Source organism: Homo sapiens, chromosome 20 (assembly GCF_000001405.40).
Source record: "Homo sapiens chromosome 20, GRCh38.p14 Primary Assembly".
In the NCBI taxonomy this organism is placed as follows: Eukaryota; Metazoa; Chordata; class Mammalia; order Primates; family Hominidae; genus Homo; species Homo sapiens.
The window spans coordinates 12,504,371-12,515,606 of record NC_000020.11 but is presented as its reverse complement, the minus strand read 5'-3'; the positions used below and the strand labels follow the sequence as shown (position 1 = coordinate 12,515,606).

Below are 11,236 nucleotides of genomic sequence, written 5' to 3'. Positions count from 1 at the left end.
TGGCTCACGCCTGTAATCCCAGCACTTTGGGAGGCTAAGGCGGGCGGATCACGAGGTCAGGAGAGCGAGACCATCCTGGCTAACATGGTGAAACCCCGTCTCTACTGAAAATACAAAAAGAAATTAGCTGGGCGTGGTGGCGGGGGCCTGTAGTCCCAGCTACTGGGGAGGCCGAGGCAGGAGAATGGCGTGAACCCGGGAGGCGGAGCTTGCAGTGAGCGGAGATCGAGCCACTGCACTCCAGCCTGGGCGACAGAGTGAGACTCCGTCTCAAAAAAAAAAAAAAAAAAAAAAAAGAATCTGGAGCCAGACTGCCCAATCTCATGTCTACCTCTGCTGTGTAATTTATGCAAATATCCAAGGTTTTTAGTGCTTCCAGTTTTTTATCAATAAAATGAAAACAATAGTGCATACATTCCTGGGTTGTCATGGGGATTAAATGAGTTAATAGTTATATTGAACTTGAAGCAGTGAAGGGTAATGAAATTTAAAAAAATTAATATCTAAAATTGGAAGAGTTTCCGTTTTTGCCTAAAATAACTAAACAATTGCTAGTAAGTATTGTCAAGATACACTTCACCTGAGGAGCCCCATCCCCTGTTGCTGTGATTATTGTTTGCTTCCAGATAACTGCTTTCCTCCTTATACTGAGACCTTGGTCTAGAGGAGTTGTCTCACTGAGAAATATCTGGGAGGTTATGGGGTTACACTAAATTTCTGGGGGCAATCTGTAGCTGATTGGCAAGAGGGTTCAAAGGACCAGCCTCTTTGCCTCAACGTACGACTTGGTCTCCGGTGCCCTTCATTCTCTATAGCTTCCTGTAGGATCAGGCTGAGATAAAACCTCAGCTGAACCACATCTTGGCTGAGTTTCTTCTCCTGTCCTATCCTACTTTCCGCCTTTCTCCTAAGAGCACTCTCCCAACTAATCATATGCATTTAAATCCCCATCTCAGACCCTGCTTCTAGGGAAGCTGGCCTAAAATAAGTATGAAATGTTATTTTCTGACCTTGCATCAGCAGCCTGTCAGGGAAGTTCAGAATGATTTAGCAAATCAAATTTGAACAGTGACAAGATAATAAGATACTAATTATAGCAGCTACCAGGAGACGAGATGCTCTTTGCAAGACCACCAGAGAGAAGAATAAAGTGCAATGCACATGCGGCTGCTTTGTCTCCCTTCTGTCCCTCTGAACGTTAAGTTCTGTTACACACAGTACCTGTCTTCTCAGATCATGACAGTGGGAAGGCTGAGCCTGTGGTGATTCTCAATGGACACTTGTTTGGCTTAAACTGGCAACTCACTTCTTGATAGGGCACAGTGATCTTGAGAGTGCAATATCATCACTCTCAAGACCCTGCGGAGTCTTCTGGATAGGTCTTTCCTATGTCGAAGATTGAATGACAGCAGGATACCTGGTCTTATTAGTTTCCCTGACTCAAGTCATTTTACTCATTTATCAACCATTTATAGGTCACAAGTTCTGGAAGGCAGAAAACATTGAAAGATCACCCAATGTGAGATACTAGACAATCAGCAACCTTGTTCAAACAGGATCAGGTGTTTCATCGAGGAAAGATAGAGACCCACCTGGGGATTCTAGTACAGTGCTTCTTACTCCAGTGTGTGTGACTAGAGAACCTCTTGTTAAAGTGTGTATTTGTGAGCTCTACCAATTTCAATGTTGAAGTCCATACCTGCTCCAGGGTACAGAGGAGGCCCATACAGCTACAGCCATGTCATCTCAATGCCCACCAAAATGGATGAAATAACACCAATGTGGCCTGGAACAATTAAAATCAACTTTAGATTTTAACTGACTGATTTAACTGAAGAATCTATTCCAATAGGTTTGGGTTGGGGGCCTGAAACTGCATTTTGAATGAACTGAGCACCCAGGTGATGCCACAATTTGAAGAGCAAGGCTCAAAAACAATCTTTTTCCAATCCTGGGTTTCTAATTTCCCTCTGGATCTCCTACCCATGGACATTTTTAAATAAGAATAGGCCAATTTGGCAGGACACAGTGGCTCACGCCTGTAATCTCAGCACTTTGGGAGGCTGAGGCGGACAGATCATGAGGTCAGAAATTAGAGACCAGCCTAGCCAACATGGTGAAACACTGTCTCTACTAAAAATACAAAAATTAGCCAGGTGTGGTGGTGGGAGCCTGTAATCCCAGCTACTCAGGAGGCTGAGACAGGAGAGTCACTTGAAACTGGAAGACAGAGGTTGCAGTGAGCCAGCCTGGGCAACAAAAGCAAAATTCCCTCTCAAAAAAAAAAAAAGCCAATTTATTCATGTATTGATTCGTTATTATGAATCATGCACTGCTCTAGGCACTGGGGAGCTATCAGTGAATAAAACACTAGCAGTGCCTATTCATAGGGATTTGACATCATACTGAGGAGGTAGCCAATACATAGGAAAATAGGAAGTATATACCTGGGGATAGAAATAAGGGCTATGTGATAAAATAAGGCAGGGAAAGAATGGAGAGTGAGTGGGCAGGAAGGGTGATATGGTTCAGATAATTTTCCCCTCCAAGTCTCATGTTGAAATGAGATCCCAATGTTTGAGGTGGAGCCTGGTGCAACTGCCATATGACCTATGTTTGGGTCATAGGGTGGATCCCTCATGAATAGCTTGGTGCCATTCCTGCATAATGAGTGCATTCTTACAATTAGTTACCAGATCCAGTTGTTAAAAAGAGCTTGGCATCTCCTCCACTCTTCGTTCCTTCCTCTCACCATGTGAGGCTCCCTTTCCTCTTTTCTTTCTGCCATAATTGGAAGATTCCTTAGGTCTTCACTAGAAACAGAGGCTGGTGTCATGCTTCTTGTACAGCCCACAGAACTGTGAGCCAAATAAAGTTCTTGTCTTTATAAATTACCCATCCTCAGGTATTCCTTTATAGCAATGCAAAACAGGCTAGGACAGAGGGGTGCTGCTTTAAATAGTTTGGTTAAATAAGGAGTCTCTGATGAGGTGACATTTGAACAAAGGCTTATGGGACCTGAAGGAATAAACTATATTCCTGGGGGAAGACATTTCAAAGAGCACAAACAGTCTGTGCAAAGACCGCAAGGAAGAAGCAGAGCAAAGAAACAGCAGGGAGATCAACCAGGCAGGACTGAAGTAAATGATGGGAAAGTGTTGAACCCAGGTGGCAGATGACTAGATTCACAGGACCATAAAATTTTAGTTCAAGTGAGTTGAGTTAGTAGAGGGTTTAAGACAGAGCAGGACATGATGTGACTTTCATTTTCAAAAAATTGCTCTGGCTTTTGTGTACACAGCATAAGGGAGAAAGGAAAGAGAGTTACACATCTATTGCTGTTGATGTTGATGCAAACTCGGCTCCTAGCAGTGAAAGGCAGAAGTGGTGAGAGTCTAGATAAATCCTACAGCTGAGGCAGCAGGTTTTTCTAATGGATTGAATGTGCAGAGTGAAAGTCAAGGATAACTCCAGGATCTGGATATAAGCACCTGAAAAAATGGACTTGCCATTTACTGAAAAGACTATAGGAGATACAGATTTGGAAGAAACATCCACGGTTTAATTTTTGCTATGTTTGCTTTAAGATGTCTTTTTAGCTCTCAAAATGGATGCACTTAACAGGTGGTTGGAATAATGAGCCTAGCGGGAAGTTGGGACTGGGGATGTAATTTTGGGAACCATCAAAATGCAAAGGGACTGGATGAGATCAAATAAGGAGTGAGTATGAGCAGCAAAACTCTCCTTGGAATGAGCCCTGGAAGACTGCATTAGAGGTTGGTGAGATGAGGCAGTAGAGACAAGGAGACTGGGCAGGAATTGCCCGAGAGGTAGAATGAGACCTAAACAGGAGTGGCATCCCTGAGTGAAGAGAAGTAATGAGGAGGCCTTGGTGGAAAACACATGGCAGAGTGGCATGACGTAATTGAAACTTCCTTGGCTAAAAATCTGCAATGTAGAGTTCTCGCCCAATATTTATTTTTCTCTGCTTTAGGAAAATGAATCCTAAAAATCAATCAATATGAGAATAAAGATATACAAAAGATTTTTTACAAAAACAAAACAAAGTGAAGCTCTATGCCTGACCAGGCATGCATTTGCAGCTGAAATCCTACATTTCTTTTATTTATTGTCACAGTATTATGCACAAACTGGCATTTAGAAGGATTGCCTCTGGGCCTCCATGAGTACATAAATGATCAAAGATTTAATTATTTGCCCAAAGTAGAGTCATGCATTTTAGAAAAGATGTTAAATAATAAATGTTGATATTTTAAGAAGGGTTCCAAGGCATCCATTTACTGTAATGTGGTAGAATTGGGACAAGAACACATCAGTGAATAAAGACTAGGTGCTTCTGGAGTTCTTGTCTCTCAATTCTCTCCATTTATTTTTAAAGTCAACATTTTTCTATCATTCCAAAGTTAAGTGAAGAAAGAAAAATTTTAAGGTGAATAATTCATATTGCCACAGAGAGACAAAAAAAAATTTATCATGTAATTTTTCTACTTTCTTTGTGTAATTGTAGTATGAACTAGAAACCAGAGAACCACACATCAGAAACTGTGTCTGTGAAGATATTTTCTGGACTTGGAATAACATAAGGGTTAATAAAAGTAAACCACAGCTGCAGCCAATATTTGTGGTTATTTACTGGGGCAGTGCTGCTCTTGATTAAGCCCATGCCTGCACTTACGCTCTGCATTTCCTCTTTTCTCCCCTGGAGAAAATGCTTTCACTCATCTGACTTCCCTACCTATTATTTGGGGGAGTTGTGTTGTCCAATTCAATGCCCAGCTTGATTCTAGCTTCCAGACCAGGGTCTAAGAAGAAGCCCTCTCACATCCTCACGTATCCTTATTTTCATCTAGCTCCTTGCACCCACTTCCTCCCCATAGTGTCTGGATCCATTTTCCACCAAGTCCCACTGTATACCTGTATTAGTCAGAGTTCTCTAGAGGGACACAACTAATAGGATAGCTGTATATATAAACGGGAGTTTATTAAGGAGTATTGCCTCACACGATCACAGGGTGAGGTCCCACAATAGGCTGTCTGCAAGCTGAGGAGCAAGGAAGCCAGTCTGAGCCCCAAAGCTGAAGAACTTGGAGTCCGATGTTTGAGAGCAGGAGGCATCCAGCATGGGAGAAAGATGTAGACCAAAAAACTAAACCAGTCTAATCTTTTCACATTCTTTTGCCTGCTTTTATTCTGGCCGCACTGGCAGCTGATTAGATTGTGTCCACCCAGATTGAGGGTGGGTCTGCCTTTCCCAGTCCACTGACTCAAATGTTAATTTTCCTTGGCAACACCCACAGAGTCACACCCAGGAACAATACTTTGCATCCCTCAATCCAATCAAGTTGACACTCAATATTAACCATCACAATACCCAATAACCCCATCTAGCTTTCAACTCTCTCTCTCTGTCTTTTTTCCCATTGCACAAAGAGGAAGATGAATCTCCAATCCCCTAAACCCGGAGAGCTTCCAGGCTCTTGTGTTTTCTCCTTTGGTGATCAAGCCTTCCTACCTTCACTCTCGGATTGTTTCTTAGGTTTTACAAGTTAACAACCACCTCTAGACCTCTGCCATTAAAAAGGTGGGCAAAGACCTCGGAAGAGGAAATAAAGTTCAGTGAGAAGCTGTGGGTGGAAAGGGAAGGATGGTGAGAAGTGGGGAAGGCAATCAGCTACTTGTGTTAGGGTACTTTGAGATAGAGTATTTAGAAAGGTTTCTGTGGGTTATGTTTTTGTCTTTGCATGTGAAGGCATGAACCAACTCTGCTCTAAAGATCTACAGGATAGATTCCCCTATCTGTGGGAAGTTTTATCCTGTAAGTAAAGGGCAGAAAAGGGCAAAGATGAAGTAAGAATTCAGAGGGACAAGAAACTCATCTGAATTAAATATCCTGAGTAAGAAACATTGGTTTAAAGAAAAATATATGCCATGGATGCTAATACAAAGCAAATGAAATAGAGGCAGCGTCAAATTATTGTTTATAGGCTTTCTCTCTTACTCGTTTATCATTTTCCTGAACCCATCTGTCCTTAGTGTGTATCAAAGGATAATTAGTTTCTTAGATATCAGAAGAAAAGAACTCAAGAAACAAGTCCTTGTGGATGGACATAGTGTTATTAAGAACCTTGTATGCATCACAAAATATTTGGTAATGGGATATGCATTTAGGCAGAAATACATTGTGATCTAATCAGTGCCTGACATCCTGACATTTTTTTCCCCCGACACAACTTCGTGCCCTTGTTTTTCTTCCTTGTATAGTTTTGCTCTACAATCAGGATTTTCTGTCATGCACCACCATATACCATTGCCCCTCCTGCACTCAATGGCATGTTTTGGCAAAAATGGGTCTTGTTATTAGATAAGAGGGTTGAGATCTCAAGCATGGGGGCACAAGGAGATAGTATGATGTAGGATTTGAGACTTGGGTCCTTATTAGCCAATCTGAGCTAGTATGAAGACTTGGAACATTTGGTTGTAGGCTCTCAAAAGAAGGTGCAAACTTCAACCTCACAAACTATCAAAAATTGGTGGCCACTGGGGTATAACATCCATTGGACAGTGTTACTTCCTATGGTGTTTTTAATTCTAGGAGGCTGCCCTCCTCTTTCCACCCTTGACTTTGTATTTTTCCCTTTTTCTATTTTCTAAATTTAGTCTCCCATTTGTCCTTAAAGTAAAAATAACAATGTCAACCTTTCATTGTTTTTAGGGGACTTAAATGAATAATTACGTGAAAATGCTTTTGTAAAATGTAAAACAAAATGCCTTGTTTGGTAGATGTCGTTATCATTATTATTAGATGGTAAAGAAAAGTGTGAGCCAGGTTCGGAAGTCATTTAGGAGGCAGAAGTGGAATGAAATCCAGGGAGGCTGCTGGTTATAGCATAAATAACTTAAATAGATGGATGCATTGTGCATGGTGAAAATTCTCCAAGAATAAGATAACCTGAGAGAACTCTTGCCTCTTTTTCTAGAAACTTCTTCACCCTTTAGCAATACCCCCCCTCACAGATATACCTTTATTCAGAGCTAAGATTTGTATATATATTTCCACCAAGATAAGTGGAAATTTGGCAGTCATTTGCTTACTTTCCTCGGTGTCTCCTGCCAAATTGAATTGATCCAAACATAAAAATAGCAAGGGCTGAATGATCCAATTCAGTTTTCCACTCTGAGCAGGTTAACTAGTCAAATGGAAGCTAAACACATTGAGTGGGACATACAGGCTGAAACAAGGCAGTGATAGGTGTTAGGATTATTTGACTTTTTGTTTATCTTTCAAACATCAGTCTTGGAGACGGGTAACCCTATTGACTCAGCCTCGTCTAGACTGGTTCAGCCAAATGCATGAGACAAATCTGAGCCTCTCACCACCCAGACAGTGTTTCTATGCTTTCCTTTTAGTACCCACTTCTAAACTTCATTCATGTACTAGAAATGTAATTTTTTTCTTTTTTCCCTGTGTACTGGCAAAGGGTTTCTTATTTTAAATACTGCCACAATGGTTCCTTTGAAGATCCCTCTGAGATAGATACCTATCAACTACTAACAGATTGGTAAACTGATGCTCATAGCTTTGGCTCAAGTTTAGTTGCATGGTAATTGACAGAACTGGAGTTCCAATGTACATGATTAGACTCCAAAACCAGTGCTCCTTTTACTCTACTTAGCAGTTATTATTATTACTGTTAGTCACCACAAGTGCCACATCTCTGTGGATGACCCACGACTTTCTCCACCTCATGATTATTGAACTGACTTGATCCCACAGATATCCAGAGATGTTCCACCTCAACTTTGTTTATTTTTATTATAACATATTTTCAACCTTTCCAACCTCCTCCTACCCAACATGGTGGCCCTTGACTCTATACTTGCAGGTATCAGAAATCTTAGTAATTAGGCCTCTCCCTACTTAGTATAGGAACCATCAGACATTTCACGTGTAGATTTTGTGTGCATATGTTTATGTCCTCAACTTACTGTGCAGTTCTTGTAGGTAGAAACTGACTTATGTGTTATCTATCACCCATACTATTTATCATAGTGTCATGCACATAATTCACACTCAATGTTATTTTTAAAGACAAAATACTGAATAATTAATACATGAAGAGAGAGGGAAAACACTTTTGCAAAAAGTATGATGATAGGGTCTGCTTGTCACGGAATGTGTTTCCATGCATGGCCTTCTGCTATACAATTTTGCTTCTCATGATGGGAAAGAATGTCTTATTTTCTATGGCTGCAATTTTACCAATACCTCTCATTAGCCTTATTAGCCTTGTGGTGGAGCTGCTAATTTACTATATCAACCTTTCCAAAATGAAGTGTGTGCAATAATACACCTTGGGAAAGTTTGAATGTTATGCCTTATTTCGACATGGAGACATGAATGATCATTGTAATTATTCTTCAGGCCCTGGTGAAATTGAGGCTGTGTCCACATAGAATCAGCAAGGTGAAAATTTTTACAATTTGATTTGTATAGACTCTCTGGGGTAACCTTCTTGGGGTTGAATTGTTTGCCATTCATCCATTTCATCATTCAGTTTACAAACATTTATTGAGCTCTTTCTACACAGTAGGCACTGCCTACAGTGAACAGTCTGATGTAGACCCATTTTCATAGCATGAATAGAAGAGATCTTACCTCGATGAAGGATTAAGTGACCCACTCTCCTCCTAATGTCCTCCTGTGAGCAGAGCAACCTAGGACTAAGTTAAGAAGGAAAGACTTTCAGAAAATATCTGTCTTCAGAGCTACAGAGTACAGTCATATAAAGATCAGCATCCCAATAGCGAAACTTTATTTCCCTCATATTTTGTCTTTGAAGCATTTTTTTTCATGGGAATATTTAGCTAAGTATATAGCTAAGTATATCCTTGATGACTTTGAACAAAGGATAATATTTCTGGGCTGTAAGTCACTTAGCTGGTCTTCCTGGAGTGTGTGTGTGTGTGTGTGTGTGTGTGTGTGTGTGTGTGTGTGTGTGTGTGTGTACTGGCAGTAAGTTAAGTGACTTTACCAGGATCACAAGGCTGGTTAAGGGTAGAACAGGAATTAAAACCCAACTTCCAATTCCACTGCCTTTCCATATGCTATATTATGTCAGACTCCCTTATTAGTCAATTACATATAATTTGCACCTTACTTTGAAATTTTAGGAGCTCCTAAGGACAATTGTCAAATATTGAAGACTTTATATAAATATTTTCCATCCGTATTATACCTCTTATCTTTAACATCCAAGATGTGTCCCTCTACTTTGAAAATTTGATGCCATTTTTTAGAATTTCTGTTGCCAGTAACTTCAGTTTCTAGGCCAGTCTTTGGAGCTAGCAGTAGCCTTTAAAAAAATAGAATAAATCATGTGCCAGGAGATTAACCACTTTGCAATTTTTAATAATCTTTTCTTTCTTCAGTCCCCATGTTTTTCCAACTTTATGGGCAGAAATCACTAAAAAAAAACCTAATATTAACTGGGCATTATGATGTTCTAGATTTTATACTGTTTATACACATATTTACATGCAATGCTTAAAAGAACTCTTTGAGGTTCTTTTAAGAACCTCTGTATGAATAACATTCTTGTAAGAACCTTCTGTATATAACATTTCTATCTGCCAGATGAGAAAACAGAGGGTCAGAGAAGCTAAGCTTGCCTGACTCCCATAACCCACCCTGCCTTCCCATACCTTACCCCTGTTCCACAAATGTCTCATTATGTTTAGAGATCTCCCAGAGCCAGGCCCAAAATGGGGCTGTGAATAGGTGAGGGTATGGTTGAATTTCAAGCCAGATCTAAAAGATTTTTGGATTATACGTAGCTTTAATTTAGCCATGTTTCATCTCCTTTCCAGCAGTGTGTATTACTTTCCTTGTACACCAGAATGAAATTATAGGGATGAGATCAAGTAGTCTTTTAAATTGATTCCTTTGTGTTCTGTGAAAAACAAAACTAATCATTTCTGAAATTTGGTATTTTATACATATCTCCTGTCCCTCCTACTTCCACTGCTACAGTGAGTCTGTTCAGCCATCCCAAGGTACATGCATCTCAGGTTCTGTTAGCTTAAAGACCCAAGAATAACAGACACAAAAGGGCTTCCAGAGGGTTTTACTGAGGCCTTGAGGACTTGTGTAGTGGATTTTAAGTGCAATCTGGTGCATCTCTACTTTGGTAGACCAAACAATAGATTATAACTAAGACTAGAATCTTCCAGAGCAAAGTGAACATGAAGACTGTAGAATGCAGCAACACTCCAAGACAATGTTACCCAAAGTGTCTAGTGTAGTTCAAAGACCTGCAATATGAGGATCACTTGGAGGAGGATAGGGGTATGTCAAAAATGTAGAATGTTAGGCTCCATCCTAGACCTAACACATTTCAGTCTCTAGAATTAGGATCCAGGAATCTGTTGTAACAGTCTCACTGGACCATTCTGATGCACACTAAAGTTGAGGAACCCTGTACTAAAGTGTCAACAACCAATGGAACTATAAACAAAATACTAGCTTCTATGGCTAACACTGAAAAAGCACCATCTGAGATACCAGATAGCCTCCAGACTAGCAGAAGAGATAAGGCCAATGCACTTGAAAGAACATTAAAGTCAGCAACAAAAGTGTATACACGCAAAGCTGAACCACAGGTCCAAATCTCCTGATGAGTCAGTTTCTTAAAAACCTCAAGTTGCAAGGCTGAGAGACTTCAGCATCCACTTATCTCTTTACAGTTTCAAATTATAAAAGTTTAAAATAAAAACAGATTTTGCTCTTCCAAAAAATAAAAAGACACAAGAGGTTCTCAAATGTCATATTTCAAAAGGTTACCTATACGTTTTCTGTTTGTAAATCTGCACACTCGTTTTTCATTGACAATATTCCCTGGACCCTAGAGTTCTAGCTATCCCTGGAGTACTAATGGCAGGAGTAAATTGAACTAAGGACTCCTCTCTCTCCCACCTTTGAGATCAAATCATTCAAAGTTCCATCTTTGATTCTCCTTTGCCACATGCCAGGCCCAGTGACACAAAGCTCTGCCCATGATAATGACTTAGTGGCCTGGCAGGGTACAGCGGGAACATCTGAGAGTGAATGGGAAGCCTCTGGCTAGGAGAAATGCCTGAGACTCCGCTCAGGCTGGTTGGCTTCTAGTTGCTGATTCTTTCCTTCTAAGGGCCACAGTTCACCTAACTTCCAATCTAT

At 40.4% G+C, this 11,236-nt stretch overlaps 1 long non-coding RNA gene across 1 annotated transcript; it reads right to left on the bottom strand.

Annotated features, from left to right (window-relative positions):
* Positions 1-331: 331 nt before the first annotated feature.
* On the bottom strand, positions 332-10,285 carry LOC107985407 (uncharacterized). The gene is made up of 3 exons (XR_001754499.2): positions 9,258-10,285; positions 8,678-8,742; positions 332-1,786 (listed from the first exon to the last, which is right to left on the bottom strand). It is a non-coding gene; the product is annotated as an uncharacterized LOC107985407 (long non-coding RNA).
* Between the last annotated feature and the right edge of the window lie 951 nt (positions 10,286-11,236).